Here is a 17,264-nt window from a genome sequence, read left to right on the forward strand (position 1 = left end):
TTAGGGGAAAACTGATGAAATCTAAATAAAGTATTAACTTTAGACAATAATAATATATGAATATTGTGCTTCATTCCAGCTACTTGGGAGGCTGAGGCAGGAGAATCACTTGAACCTGGGAGGCGGAGGTTGCATTGAGCCCAGATTGCACCATTGCACTCCAGCCTGGGTGACAAAAGCAAAACTCAGTCTCAAAAAAAAAAAAAAAAAGTAGAATATAACTCCCACTCCTTAAGTCTATGCTGCACATAGTAACTTTCTTTCAAAAAGCACAGCATGGGAAAGGAGGAAAAAAAGTAACTTAACACAGTAGAAAACTGACAAAACACTACCTCAGCCAAGTGACCAAGGTGACCAACATCAACAGTGATAAGTCATCCTGATGATAGTTTGTACTGTTGATATTATGTGATGAAAACAGCAGTTTACTTTTGTGTCCTTCCTCCCAAAAACACATCACCTCACTTTAATCATGATGAAATAATCAGGCAAATCCCAACTGAAAAACATTCTTTAAAATACCTGACTAATACTTCCCAGAACTATCACACTCATCAAAACAAGAAAAATCTGAAACATTGTCACAACCAAGAGGAGCCTGAAGGGACATAACTTCTCAATGTAGGATCCTGGAACAGAAAAAAAGACATTAGGGGAAAACTGATGAAATCTGAATAAAGTATTAACTTTAGACAATAATAATATATGAATATTGTGCTTCATTAATTGTGACAAATGTATCATACTAATATAAAATGTTAATAGGATAAGTTGGGTTTAGGTTATACAGCAACTCTCTATACTATCTTTGCAATAATTCTATAAATCTAAAATTGTCCTGAATTTTTAAAATTAAATATTTATCTTGGCTCATTCACCCTTGCATTCATTTACTCATTGATTTTAATTATTTACTTAAACAGCTGCTATGTCCCAGATACTGCTCTAGTCTCTAGAGATACAAACAGCAAATAAAACCAAACATGGTTCCTGCTATCAAGGTGCTTAAGTCCAGTGGAAAAGAAACAAAGAACGCTAAGTGATTGTTAAGTCATAGAAGGAATAAGTCACTATTTTCAAAATTAAAAATTATTTTCTTGAATCTTCATTATAAAAGACTCAAGACATTAAAGGTCTGGGTTGAATATCACGCAATCTGACAATTGAAAATCAAGGAGCAGGATTTTCAAAGAGGAGCAAAAGGCAGTTCTTGAACCAAATAATGAAATCTCTAGGAGGCAGCCCAGCCTCCCAACCCTAACAGGGACAATTACTGAGTCTAGAGTCAATATCAGAGGGCCAGATTGGCTGTTGACTCTCTGCATGCCAGGTCTGTGCTGGGGGACAAAATGTGGAGAGGAAGCATCATGCCCTGCTGGAGTGCTGCATGAATAGTGGTTGTGCAGGCAGGACAGGTAGATGGGCAGCGGTACCAGGACAGGCTCCACTCCAGCTGCAAAGGGGTCCATGAACCTTCCCATCCTCCCATTTCTACATTCCACTCATTCATTCCTAGAATACAAATTAAACACGTACTATATGCCACACTAGGGTAGGCCAACCACATGTGTGCCAGGTGGATTGGGAAACAATATTGCAGGCAACAGGAACAACATGGACTAAGATTCAGGAGGTAGACAGTGCATAAAACCTTCATGACATTTCAAGTGGTTCAGTGAGGCTGGGGCACAGAGTGTGGGTTGACAAACAGAAGGGGAGGATACTGAGATGGTGGCAGAGGGCAGATCATGAACAGTTCTGTGGGTCCTCCAAGTTTACACTTTATCCTGAGGACAAAGAAAAGCCAATAAAGAGTTTCAAGCAAAAGATGTGCCTGGATGGGGCATATAGTCAGATAGGGACTTGTACAGAAACCACTCTGCTAGCTGCTATTGTGTGGAGACTGGACTAGACAGGGCTGTCCCAGAGGCAGGGAGATTGATTACATGGCAGAGTCAGAAAGTAGGAGGAGTAGAATTGGATACATCACTGGATGTAGGAAGCAAAGGAGTGGGAGGATTCAGGAATGACTTCTGACCTGGGTAAATATGCAGGATGAGTAGTAGAGTAACAAAGACAATAAACACAAACATTGTGTGTTCCCAGCATGCATCAGGCATTGCCAGAGGCAAATGTTGATGCTCCAGAGGGACTTGGGTGCTCTCAGTGACCTAGTCTAGGTCCCTAACATGCAAATACTGGTATTCCCTTCTATGTGCATTTCCCCAGCCTTCTTCCGAGGCAACAACTTGCTCAACAGGTAATAATCTACAAAAAATTTCAAGTAAACATTCTTTTATAGATATAAAATATAAAAATAATCCCAAACTCTGATAAATAGAGCAACTTCTACAGGGAATTTTTTTTTTTTTTTTTTTGAGATGGAGTCTCGCTTTGTTGCCCAGGCTGGAGTGCAGTGGCGTGATCTCAGCTCACTGCAAGCTCCGCCTCCCAGGTTCAGGCCATTCTCCTGTCTCAGCCTCCCGAGTAGCTGGGACTACAGGCACCCGCCACCACGCCCAGCTAATTTTTTTGTATTTTTAGTAGAGACGGGGTTTCACTGTGTTAGCCAGGATGGTCTCGATCTTCTGACCTCGTGATCCTCCCGCCTCAGCCTCCCAAGGTGCTGGGATTACAGGCGTGAGCCACCGCTCCCGGCTACAAGGAATTTTAAGAACATATGATTCTATATTAAAAAGCAATATTCCGAAGGTTGTTGGTATCATTAAGTAAACAGTCCTCATTTTACATAAGCAAACACACTCACCAAGATAAATATCCAGCTGAAGTAAAAATGGAACCAGCATGGGTGTGTTTAGAATTAGCCAGTAATTTCAGAGGAAAAAGCAGGAATGGGTGGAATAGAAGAGCAGAGTGTTATTGGCCAGTTCATCTCCCAATCAAGGGTAACCTTGGAGAGGGGAAGAAAGAGGATTATACAAGCATAATTGTTGATAGATAGAGTCTATGAATTATGCGTGCCTCTCCAGAATTCTCTGCCCAGCCAATCATAGCTCTGCTGGAGAATAACTTTTAATATTTTTAAAGCAGAAAACAGGCTGGGCGCCGTGGCTCACACCTGTAATCCCAACACTTCGGGAGGTCGAGGTGGATGGATCACCTGAGGTCAGGAGTTTGAGACCAGCATGACCAATATGGTGAAACCCCATCTCTATTAAAAATACAAAACTTAGCTCAGCATGGTGGTGTGCTCCTGTAGTCCCAGCTACTCCGGGCTGCTTGAACCCAGCAGGCGGAGGTTGCAGTGAGCCAAGATCATGCTACTGCACTCCAGCATGGGCAACAGAGTGAGACTCCATCTCAAAAATAAGAAAAAAAAAAGAAAAAATATATTGAGCCAAATCCATGAATCAATTCATAACCATCAATGTATTAATGTATTAAATATGATATACATGGTTTCTACATTTCAGAGAATTAGCTATCACCCTGTCTCAATCCTAAAAGCTCTTTACATAGAACACTGCTATAATGTACTTAAATTTCTATTTGACATCTGTCAGCATCCCGAAACACCTACGTGTACACACAAAGCTTCCATTTTGAAATAAAAACAAAATGGCCATAGCCAGTCAGTGTAAATCCCTTTTATTTTTAAAAACTGAAGATTGTGTCATCTGAAATGTTTAAATGTGTAGAAATTTAAAATATCACCTCCTTCGCTCTAAGTCAACTCACCCTAAACTCAACACCTTGGGTGGTAAATCTGGGATATTTACAGGCTCTCAGTCCACACTTTCCTCGTGGGGTTAAACAATTGACTGAAGGTTGCACAATATAGCCAAAGGCTATGGGAGAGACACAAGCAAGTCACCTTTTTCCCAGAATACAATGTCTTCACTATACAAATTCCTATCCCAAACAATGAAATAGGGAGTTAGAGCATTTGAGGGGAAAATTGTGGAGAAAGAAAATTCAGCCATGAAGTACTCTGGCTTTAGTTTTCTCTTGATATTTTTGTCTTTCCCTTATTTGCTCTAAAAAATATTTTTATATAAATGATTAGTACACTTTGAGTCTGAGTATTTTAAGTGAAAGGAGAAACTATTACTTAGATAACTTAGGCCAAACTGATCCTCTCACACAAGCTTTCATTCTGAAAATACATACGATTTGGTCACAAGTGTTTCATGTTCTCAAATGTCTACCTAATTATTTCATCTGGGGATTTGACAGCAGATTTTAAAAACCTTTATGTGGAAGGCAGCCTCTCCATCCCTACTCTTTCCCTGAGACCAGTTTTCTGGGAGAGTCTTGCAGTTTACAAAGCATTCTTACAGGTGTCAGCTCATTTGAGTGTCACAATGACTCTGATGTGGGGAGTGCTGACCTCATTTAACAGAGGAGGAAGCTGAGGCCCAAAGAGATTAGGTGATTTATTTTGGCTTGTACAACTGGTAAGTGGCACAACACCTAAACTCAGCCCTTCTGACTCCAAGTAGTCCCCTTTTCCTACGCTGAACTGCCTACTAAAGTTATTTTAATTTTTACCAATTCAAGATAAGTAATTACCTACAAATTGTGGCTGCTTATTTATCTGCTGCCAGCTACTCTAATGCCTTCTGCGCCATAGCTTAGAAAAAAGCCTTTTACACCCTCATTTGCAGAAAGCTTAACACTGACTGTTCCAAAGCTATACCCAAAGAATCCTTGAACAATGAAGCAAACACACATCTCTAATTCCACTGCTCAGTATTATCTGCTCTCACAAGAATCACTTGTACTGAAGTACTGAGTGCAGTGAATCATCAGACATCATAAAGGCTCAGAACCTGCAGCATGGGCCAGAGGCATTGTGCCACCACCCACCTCCCCACGCAAAGCAGCCCTCTACTACCTTCCTTAGAACTGCTGCTCTGCCCTAACCTCCTCCAGCAACCCCAGGGCCGATCAAACACGTTTCCTCTCCTCTCCTCTTCTGAGTATACCCCAGGCCCTTGTTATTCAGTGTGGTTCCTTGACTAGCAGCCTCAGCATCACCTGGGAGCTTGTTAGGAATGCAGGCTCTGGGGCCCCACCTTAGGCTTGGAAATTAGAATCTACAGTTTAAGAAAAAGCTCCAGGAATTTATAAGAAATTACAATATGAGAAGCAATACCCTATAAAAAAGGACAGAGCAACTGAAATCCATCCTCTCTGTCACACCATCCATCCTTGGCTACTGGTTCTTTAGGCTCTCAGAAGGTATTATGGCCACATTCAAACCCTTCAGCACCAGCCCACCTGCTCATCCATTCCCCTAGTATATCCAATCCAGCTTGGTTTTATGGTTTAGTAAAATAGCTTGGCTACTTTACACTAAAGTATGAATAGCTAAGTGCCTACGAACACAGTGGGTTCTGATGGAATGTTACTAAGAAATGATGAGAAAGTTTTAAAGTCAAAAAAATTTGGGTTTGTATCTCCATTCGCTCAACGATCAGCTGTGAGAATCTCAGAAGCTTAAATAACTCTCTGAAATTCCATTTCTGCCTGTAAAAATTTAAGCTGTTATCTATCCTATATAAGAAGTTGAAATAAAGTATCTTGTGTACCAGGACTGGCACATAGTAGGTGTTTTCTTTCTTTAATGAATGAACCATAACATCAGAGGTAACTAAATTTCAAAATAGTACTGACACAAATAAATATCTAGTTGGTGTCCCTCCAGCCAGTGCGGCCACATGGGAGACACTCTGGGGCATATAAGCATTTCCTGTGAGTCATAAAATCCCATCTGCCAACCACCATCAGCCTTAGCTACACTGGAAGTCACTCACTGCACACCCCCCACCTGGAAAATTCTCCTCTACTAACTTATACTTTAGAGTCCTCTGATTCAAAAGCTGCTTCCCTTTCTCCTTGAAGAGTTTAATCCCCAAATTGAAGAAACAAAAATAATGGCAAGGGTGTAGGTAAGTTGAGATGTTTAAACTGTGACAGGCTCGTTTTTAGCACTTAAAATTTCATTTCAGCAATATCACCAATGTACATGCAATGAGCTAGAATGCTTATTATTCATTAAAACTGGTAAGAGAGTGCTTTCCCTGATTTTGAAATTGTCAATTTGATTATTGACTGTACTTGAAGACAATTTAATTGAAAAATCTAAACGAAAATACATGAAATAATTTTTAAAGATAATCCTTAAACTACATAAGTTTTTCAGAACTAATAATGGTTCATTACTTTATTAAACAAAAGATCAAAAAGCACAAAATATTAAAAAAGAGACATGTAAATAAACCTTACTTTTGCCAAACAATAAAGACCATAAACCAAGTTAAAAGGCAACCAACGACCTGAGAGATTTCCCAACACATATAACCAGCAAAGAAATTCAGTCAGATAAACAAATCAATAGCAAGTATTAGCAAATAATATGAACATGCAATTCCCAGAAGAGCAAATCCATTGTCCAATAAACATAAAAAGATATGTAACCTCACTAATAATCAGAGAAATGCTAATTAAACAACAAAAAAGCTACCACATTGCACTCCCGCCATGGGTAAAAAATGTTGACGTGTAAGATTACCAAGTATCTGAAAGGATTTGACATAACAGGAACTCTGTCCTCCGGGTAGGAGTGTAAACGAACATGACCACTTTGGAACACAATCTAGCAATATCTAGTAGCTTGAGAATGGCCACAACCTGAGCCCCGGGAATCGCACAAGTGTGCCTTGTATACCCAGCCAAGAGTAGCATTTTCTTAAGTGAGATTGCTGACCAGCAGTAGCAGCAGCATCTGGGTGCTTGTTAGAAATGCAAATTCTCCAGCCTATCCCAGACTTAAAGACTTACCTGGGAGTGCCTTTTAAGAAGCCCTCCAGCAGATTTAGGTACATGCTCAAGTTTCAGAACCAAGAGAGAAACTTCACACATTAGTTCTCCCATCTTCCAACAGGAGATTGTGTCAGAAGGGTACTAGGAATGTGGTCCTTGATACATTTTTTAAGGAGGAGAGTCTGACAGACCTTCTTTACTAGTACAGTGTCACTTGCGAGTCAAGAGAAAATGTGCAAACAATGGGATTCCCTCAAATACACAGAGATACATACATAGGTATATGTATAAAAGTAAAGCATTTAAAACACTCCAAACACCCACCAATAGAAGAACTGGTGCAATGGTTATGTTACACAGCAGTTAAAATAAATGAAGTAGATATAAATGTATCAGCAGGAATAAATCTTGAAAATATAATGCTGAGTGAAAAAAGCATTAAGTTAAAATCTCACCCAAAAAACTGTCTTATTTATGGATAAATATACATTTGTATTAAGACATCAAATATGTATAAGTGGGAATTACATCCACTGATTTTAAGATAATGGTTATATGTGGGCAAGAAATAAGAGGAATGGCATGAAGGAGGGGTACAAAAACATCAACTGTAAGATTTTGTTTTTTAAAAAAGCCGCCAATATATGGTAAAATGGTAATATTTGTTAATTCTGGATTGGGATAAAAGACATTGCTTATATTATTCTGTGTACTCTTCTGCATATTTGGACTATTTTACAATTTAAAAATTTAAAAGTTATTCCTTATATTTGCAAATACTAGAAAGGCTTATTTCTGTTTAAGAAAAATATATTTCAAAATGACTACCTCAAAAGGCTTTTAAAATTGAATCTTTGTGACATCTAGTGGTAACATAGTTACAATTTAATATACAATTATAAATAAGCTTGATTCAATGTAGTATTGATCTCAGAACAGTTGGTTTAATTTGACTTTCACAAAAATTAATTCAATTTTCAAAAGCTTGTACATTTATTTGCTGTTTTCAGTGTTCTATTCCTGAATATATATATATATATATATATATATATATATATTTTTTTTTTTTTTTTTTTTTTTTGACACGGAGTCTTGCTCTGTCACCCAGGCTGGAGTGCAGTGGCGCAATCTCGGCTCACTGCAAGCTCCGCCTTCTGGGTTCACACCATTCTCCTGCCTCAGCCTCCCGAGTAGCTGGGACTACAGGTGCCCGCCACCATGCCCAGCTAATTTTTTGTATTTTTAGTAGAGACGGGGTTTCACCATGTTAGCCAGGATAGTCTTGATCTCCTGACCTCGTGATCCGCCTGCCTCGGCCTCCCAAAGTGCTGGGATTACAGGTGTGAGCCACTGCGCCCGGCCCTATTCCTGAGCAAGGTTATTATTATCTTGTATACGTTATTTCTGTGGCTCAGCTGATGGCTTCCTGAAATATGTGTCAATTATGTTAATTCTAGTGTCCCCAAAACAGGTGGCACCCCTGCCATCCCCCTCCCTGGCTCAGTGAGAGAGCCATGAAGGAAGTTCTTAGTGTCTCCTTTACACCATGTTAGACACCAGCCAGGCAAGTGTCCCTCGAAGCCAGACCGGCACCTCTGCCTGACCTGAGCGCTCAAGGACCCACCATTGTTCAAGATTCAGGTTCTTCCTTGTCCTTCCTTGTCCTCCACCCCCATTCGATCAACTCCCAAGCCCACCTATGAAAAGCGTCACACCCATCACTTGTTTCCTGTAGAGGTCCTACAAATTGTGAATGATGTGCGAGCAGAGACCATGTTTTGCGTATATGCTTCCCATGAGAACCCAGTACAATGCTTGATACATAGTAGGCACACTGTAAGTGTTCACTAAATTAATTTCCACTGCTACAACCTAGGTACCACCTTCATTACCTTAAGCCTAGACTATCTTAACAGCAACCTTATCCTAAAAAATCCTAAGTACCACCAATGAAGCATCTTAAAACATCTCTGTAACATAACACCACTTTCTCATCCACCACTCCCCAAAGGGATTTTCACTGTATAATTCCCATCTCTATTCCCATTGTCAGCAGATGCCATCTAAATATCTTAGCCTGCTATTTAATAGGCTTCAAAAACTAGTCCAGATCGACTTTATGAACTTCTCCCTCACGACATCCCTGTACAAATCAGTTAACCTTCAAGCATCCTACAGGCATTCCCAGCATTATTTATTTCTCTGCTCACATTTTTCCTCCTGCCCACCCACGATCAGTTATGTGCCTTTGTGTTTTGCTGGGTTTTGTTGGGTTTAGCCTCTTACTTCCATGAAGCTCGATGTGACTTCTCTCTATGTAGAGTTAATCACAGTAGCTACCAAAGGGGTCTGTTGAACCTTGCATCATTATTCATCTTCTTTCCTATGCCCTTGCTCACCATCAGGATGCGTGCACCTCAGTGGTAGGGGACCACCTCTCACACCAGTTTATGCACTCAGAATCTAGCTAAGTGCTCAGAAGGGGGACAACTAAAAGAGATGTGTCGAAATGAGAAAAACTAGGTAAAGAGTGGATGGCCATTGATTGCAATCGGTATAACCCCTTTTAAAGCATTTCATGTGGAAAGTAGCTGTGAAGGCCCCACATGATTCTAAATAATGTATTAAGCTGATCTTTTATATTTTGACAAGGAGCTGAAGACAGTGACAGCAGGAAAATGACTAGTTAAGAAACCAATCACTTGCGGCTTCAGAACATGAGAGAAAGAGGAGTGAGTATTAGGCTCACTGTATTGGTCTAGAAGCATGGCAACCACAGAAGAGTTAAGAATGACTCCCACACTATAAATTGGAGCATTTGGACAACAGTGAAGCCACTTTATTATACTAAAGAAGTGAAGAGGAGGCCAGGTATCATGGATCATATTTGTAATCCCAGAACTTCAGGAGGACGGCTGGAGCCCAGGAGTTCAAGACCAGCCTGGGCAACATGGTAAGACCCCATCTCTTAAAAAAAAAAAAAAAAAGTGAAGAGGATAAAAAACTTCTAGGAAAAGTGAAATAAACTCTGTTTTAGAGATAGGCACTTTTTAATGCTGTTGGAATCTGCAAATGTATTCAGTAGTTATATTTCTAACATAACTGGGTGACAGGACCAGTTTCAACACTTACTGGTACAATGCTGAATGCTACTCTTTGAGACTTCATTTCCCTATACTTTCAAACACAAGCTCATACCAACTCTATAAACTCCCAGGGGAGCTGTTGGCATTAGTAAGTACTCCATGCTAGTCTCTATTCTCTCTTCTTCACCAACTTCATGCCTGACCCCTTCCCACCGAGACACAGTCCCCGCCTGTCTTGCCCCAGTCCTCACAGTATGTGTCTAAGCTAGACAATGAGCATCAACCCTGGTTCTAATTTACAGGCAAGCTTCCTGGTGGGGCCATAGTCCTTCCTCAACCACTTGGCTGGACCAGATCCTTGCAAAATCCTTTCCCATGAGCTGTACCCCTCACTGTCTCCTCTGCTACCTTGACCTCCCCCTTCTCCCACCACTGCTCAGTTCCTGGCCAGGAACCTGCTTTGAACAAGGTCACCACCTCCTTCCCTCCAGCCACAGTACTGACACCTACCTGAGAGTAAGCATGGGAGCCACGCACTCCAGGGCTGCTCCTACCTGACTCTAAACCCCTATGGTCCCGCGACAGTCTCCCAATCCTCAGTTCCAGGGCACCTCCATTACCCACTGACTCTGTTCTACCTCTGTGTTTGTTATGAGCTACTGGAGAATATAATAACTCTGATGAGATCTCTATTTACCTCACACAGCACCTAGCATGTAATAGCAGTAGTAACTACTTGTTGAGTGCTTACTAAGTGCCAGGCACTGTTGTAAAAGCTTTCCATGAATTAACTCATTTAATCCTTCTCACAACCCTAAAGAGGTCAGCACTATTACTTTACTTAGTATACAAATGAGGAAGTTGAGGCAGAGCAGGCATTCATACATTTTTTAATGGATAAACTTCAAGTGGGTTCACAGAGTTGTCCATCAATCACTTTATTCATCCATTGCCCCAGAAGACATTGTAAAATTCATCCTCACTCAAGTACTTGACCAACCTCTGCCTTTCTTTCCTTCTTTACCAAGTGGCTCAGAGGTATATAATGCAAATTCTGCAGTGTACCCCTAACTCCTTCCAAGTATTCATCCTCCATACCTCAAAATGTCTGTCTCTATATTTTCCCCTCCTGGAGTGGAGGAAAAGGTGATTTATGAAGTACTTGTCTTCCTCTGATTTGTCCCACCCCCAATTCTTCTGGAACCCTGCTCTAATGCTTTGAGCTACACCTTCAGTCAACTTGCCACTTTCCTATTGCCAAAACACAAATGAAACTTCATTTCTCCCTACAAGGAGAATCCTTCCCCAGCCCTGTTACATCTTCAAGTCACTCTCTCTTCATCACCAAACTTCTCCAAAGACTGGCTTCACCAGCCCCTTTCCTGTCTACCAAAATTCACACCCTTAACCACCAGAGCTGAATTTCACCCCCATATCCTTAATAAAAACAGGGAAAAATCCTCAAAGGCCATTACAGGTCCTTCTACACATCACTCCCATCTCCTTCCCTCCACAACATTTGCCATTCTCCTGGAAACTCACCCTGGATGGTGAGGATGAGCTTCTGCCTCTGTCCATCCATTTGAGCCTTCTCTGGTCCCACTAACTACTCTTTATCCTGTTGCTGCCTCACCCCACCCCCAATTCAAATGGACATAACCTCCCTCAGAGATCCCTGCCAGTAACTCCCAAACCTTTGCATCCATTCTCAACTTTTCTCCTGGGTTTCATTCTGCCTTTCCAACAGTCTATGAAATAATTTTACACATATATCAGCCTGCTTTATCAAATAGTAAGTCTACAACTGAAGCTTTAGTCCCAAATATGGCCACTTCCCATTTTTTACTGACATCCTTAATCTAAAATGAGTCCTTCTGACTGCTCTCTGTCTCAGCACACTGCTTAATTTCCCTCACTGCCCCATTGCAATTTACTTTGTTCACTTGCTTCCTTTGGACTATATGTGCCATATGTTTAGGAACTATGTCTGTCTTGTTCACCATGACAAGCACAGTGTCTGGTATGGAGCAACCACTCCAAACATTTTTTGTTTACTCAATATGTCTTTGTTCTTCTAGCTCTTCTCAAATTGCTCTTCTTGAAGTCACCATGTTTCCAAGCCTAAACATCAGCAGTGATTGCTTACCTTGGCCTCCTCATTGAGTCACCAAATCCTGACTATCCATCCTTTATAAGACCATGGCATTTGACCGTTGCTTTCCATTTGCACTGCCACTTCAAAAGTCCTTTTTCAGGCAAAAAACAAAACAAAACAAAACAAAACAAAAAGACTCTTTAACCTATTTCTAAGTCTTTGACCCATCTATTCACTTCCTGAGATTGGGTCTTCCTACAAAATCAATTTGATCCCGTGATCAAAAGCCTTCAGTGCCACCCAACATGCCTTAACTCAAGTCCAAACCTTTGAAGCTGGTGTCCAGATCCTTCATGATCTGGCTCCTAACAGCCTCTCTACTCCTCTGTTTTGCCAGAATCCTTCACATCTCCATAGATCTCACATGCAAAAAATGTGAAACCATGTCTAAAGAAGTAAAGGAAAGTATATGAATGATGTTTTCCTTAAAAAAGTTAATAGATATAAATCCTAAAAAGGAAACAAGTAGACAATCTAGAACTGAAAAGTACAACAGCTGGAATGAAAATTTTACAAGAGAGACTCAACAGCAGATGTGAGCTGGCAGAAGAATGTATCAGAGACCAGTGGGACACCAAGTGTACCAACATATGCATAACAAAGTTGTAGGAGAAAGAAAGGAGCAAAAAGAATATTGAGAAAACTAAATATCCTAAATCTGATGAAAAATACTAATCTACACATCTAAGAAGTTTAATTAACTCCAAGCAGGATAAACCCAAAGAGATGTACAATGAGACAAATCATAATTAGTCTGTCAAAAGATAAGAACAAAAAGAGTGAATTTTCAGAGCAGCAAGAGAAAAGTGGCTCATCACATACAAGGGATCTTCAATAAAATTAATAGCTAATTCCTTATCAAAAACCTTGGAGGACAGAAGGCAGTGGGATGACATATTCAAGGTGGTGAAAAAAATGACAATCAATAATGCTATACCCAGTAAAACTATTCTTCAAAATTGAATGGGAAAATGTAATCTTATATTTGGAAAAACTTAAAGACGACAAAAAAAAACTATTAGAACTCATAAATTCGGTAGACTTGCAGAATACAAAATCAGCATACAAAAATCAGTAGCATTTCTATATGCCAACAGTGAACAAACTGAAAAAGTAATCAAGAAAGTAATGCCATTTACAATAGCTACAAATAAAATACCTAGGAATTAACCAAAGAAGTAGAAGATCTCTACAATGAAAACTGTAAAACATTGATGCAAGAAATTGAAGAGGACACGAAAAAATGGAAAACTATTCCAATTTCATGGATTGAAAAAATCAATATTGTTAAAATCTCCATACTACCCAAAGCAATCTATAGATTCAATGCAACACCTATCAAAATACCAAGGACATTCTTCACAGAAATAGAAAAACAATCTTAAAATTTATATGGAATCACAAAAGACCCAGCAAAAATAAAATGTGGAGGAATTACATTACCTGGTTTCAAATTATACTACAGAGCTATAGTAACCAAAATGGCATGGTACTGGCATAAAAGCAGACACATAGACCAGTGAAACAAAATAGAGAACCCATAAATAAATCCATATATCTACAGTGAATTCACTTTTGACAAAGGTGCCAAGATCATACAAACATTCTCTTCAATAAATGGTGCTGGAGAAACTGGATATCCATATGTAGAAGAATTAAACTAGTCCCCTATTTCTTGCCATATACAAAAACCAAATCAAAATGGATTAAAGGCTTAAATCTAAAGCCTCAAACTACAAAACAACTAAAAGAAAACATTGGGGAAACTCTCTAGGACATTGGAGTGGGCAAAGATTTCTTGAGCAATACCCCACAAGCACAGGCACCAAAACAAAAATGGACAAATGGGATCAAATCAAGTTAAAAAGCTTCTGCACAGCAAAGGAAACAATTAACAAGGTGAAGAGACAACACACAGAATGGGAGAAAATATTTCAAACTGCCCATTTGACAAAGGATTAATAAGCACAATATATAAAGACCCCAAACAACTTTAGAGGAGAACTAATTATTCAGTTAAAAAATGGACAAAGATCTGAATAGTCATTTCTCAAGAGAAGATATACAAATGGCAAACAAGTATATAAAAAGGTGTTCAACATTATTGATCATCAGAGAAATGCAAATCAAAACTATAATGAGATATCTCAACCTAATTAAAATGGCTTTTGTCCAAAAGACAGGCAATAACAAATGCTACCGAGAGTGTGAAGAAAAGGGAACCCCCCATATTACATTCCCTTTGGTGGGAATGTAAATTAGTACAACCACTATGGAGAACAGTCTGGATGTTCCTAAAAAAACTAAAAAGAGAGCTACCATACAATCCAGCAATCGCACTCCTTATGTATATACCTAAAAGGAAAGAAATCAGTATGTTGAAGAGATATCTGCACTCCCATGTTTATTGGAGCACTATTCACAATAGCCAAGATTTGGAAGCAACCTAAAGGTCCATCAACAGATGAATGGATGAAGAAAATGTGGTACATATACACAATGGAGTACTATTCAGCCATAAAAAGAATAAGATTCTGTCATTTACAACAACATGGATGGAACTGAGGTCACTATGTTAAGTGAAATAAGCTAGACACAGAAAAACAAAAGTTCACATGTTCTTACTTATTTGTGGGAATTAAAAATGAAAACAAACGTATGGAACTACAGAGTAGGAGGATGGATGGTTACTGGAGGCTGGGAGGGATAGTGGGGGGTGGGAAACTAGGGATGGTTAATGGGTACAAAAAAATAGAAAGAATGAATAAGACCTAGTATTTGATAGCACAACAGGGTGAGTAGAGTAAAAAATAATTTAATTATACATTTTAAAAGAACTAAAAGAGTATAACTGGATTGTTTGTAACACAAAGGATAAATGCTTGAGGTGATGAATATCCCATTTACCTTGATGTGATTATTATGCATTGCATACCTGTATCAAAACATCTCATGTAACCCACAAATACATACACCTACTTTGTACCCACAAAAATTAAAAATTAATTTTAAAAAAGATTCAAGGAAAATGTGTGTTTGGTGCACATGTATTTAAATGGTCTCATTTTGCATGAGGAGAAAACTTAATTACCTATGTTAAGAAGCTTGATATCTCCCATGCTTTTATCCATTCCTTCTTCTGGAATCTTTGCCTTCCTCAAGACCAGTTCATCAGTAAAATCTAGAGTAGGTCAATTGAGCCTAGGATGTCATCCAGCAACAGAAAGCTTGTCAAAATAGGAACCATTTCCATCCCTACCACTGGGTGAGTCTAAAATGAGTACCGCTGCTATCAGCAAGACCCTCTAAGACTCTGAGATACAGCTCAGGGTAGCAGCTTTATTTGAGAGTCATCTCCCTGCAAGGACAGGAGCCTCTCTTACTTCCTCCTCTCTCTTGTGCCTAGCTCTGGCTAAGGGTACTTAATAAGACTATACCCTTCCAGAACCACAGTGTTTCATGCTGTGACTAGCTGACACAGAGGGACTTTTGCTGCCAAATCTGCCTCCAAGCCACACCCTCTGGAAACTGCCACAGGCTATGCTGAGCCCAAAGTTCTCTGAGCCTGTCTTTTACCCACAGGCCTCTATGATGGTGCCCTTTGGGCTGAGTCAGGGTCTGGAAGTACACTCTGCTCCTTGTCTCCCTTGGACACTCTTGCCTGGGTAGATGTGAATGCAGGTCATCCATGCTGGGGACACAGTGCCTGGAAATTGAATTCACACAGAAATCATATATCGCTCCAGGGTACCTGGAAGTTTTTTCCTCAAAAATGTACAGAACTGGTATGACAGGATAACATTCTTAATTAAACATTTTTAATGAAACTATAATTTATCTTTTTATCTCTTCCTATTTGTCTTAGTCCATTTTGTATTTCTATAACAGAATATTACAGAATGGTAATAAAGAAAATACATGTATTTCTTACAGTTTTGGAGGTTGGGAGGTCCAGGTCAAGGGGCCTGCAGCTGGTGAGGGCCCTCTTGCTGTGTCATCCCATGGCTGAAGGTGGAAGGACAAGAAAGTGCAAGAGAGCAAGAGGGGGCCGAACTCACTTTTATAACAAGCCCACTCTTACCATAACTAACCCACTTCTGTGACAATGGCATTCATCCATGTATGAGGGCAGAGCCCTCATGACCTAATCACCTCTTAAAGGTCTTACCTCTCAACACAGTTGTATTTGGGAAGGGAGGGGGACACGTTCAAACGATAGCACCATTTAGGCAAAAGGACCACTCTGTACTCATTGCCTCAGGAAAAGTACATTATAAGCCAAAATAGAATTTTTTTTTAAAGGAGCCTCTCTTGGTATTTGCGTTTTCGCACCTATGTCCTTAAGAATAGAAAGGACTCACATCACAGATTTGGAAGAATTTTGTAAAGGAAGTAAGGTTCTCTGCAGAGTCTAAGGATAGAACTGAAACTTCAAAGGGGCCAGGAGTGTGTGGCCTGTATTCAGTCAGATCTTCTCACCAACAGTTGCCCCAATATTTGAGCCCACTGATTGAGCCAGAAGACATGATACTTCTTTGCACCCCAGAACTTTGTTTCATCCCATTCAATTCACTCTATGTGAACACATCCTGCAATATCCCTAGACTTTATAAACCCCAAAGAGGAAGACAGGAATCCGGACGCCCAGCTGGGCAGAAAGGTGAGGAAGGGAAAGTCCTCATATCTGTTCCTGGCTGTGGAGGAACAAGCTAAGCTGGAGGAAACTCCCCCACCAGGACAGTGATGAAACACTTCTTCCCCCTTAAACACCATCATATAAGTGTGGCTTAAGTGGTTCTATGAAGCATCAGCTCCCAGCAAACTGGGGAGAGCTCTGCAGTTCACACCCAGGAGGAGACACCACATCTAGAGCATGTTGCACACCCTCCTGAGCCCTACACAATGGCCACCTCACTCACTTCTCACGGACCAGCAACTTTCTTTTCTTTTTTTCTTTTTTTTTTCTTGAGACGGAGTCTCACTCTTGTCACCCAGGCTGCAGTGCAGTGGTATGATCTTGGCTCACTGCAACCTCTGCTTCCTGGGTTCCAGTGATTCTCCTGCCTCAGCCTCCTAAGTAGCTGGGATTACAGATGCCCACCACCACGCCCGGCTAATTTTCTTTTGTATTTTTAGTAGAGACGGGGTTTCACCATGTTGGCCACACTGGTCTCAAACTCCTGACCTCAAGTGATCCACCTGCCTTGGCCTCCCAAATCGCTGGATTACAGGTG

This window comes from Homo sapiens, chromosome 10 (assembly GCF_000001405.40).
Source record: "Homo sapiens chromosome 10, GRCh38.p14 Primary Assembly".
In the NCBI taxonomy this organism is placed as follows: Eukaryota; Metazoa; Chordata; class Mammalia; order Primates; family Hominidae; genus Homo; species Homo sapiens.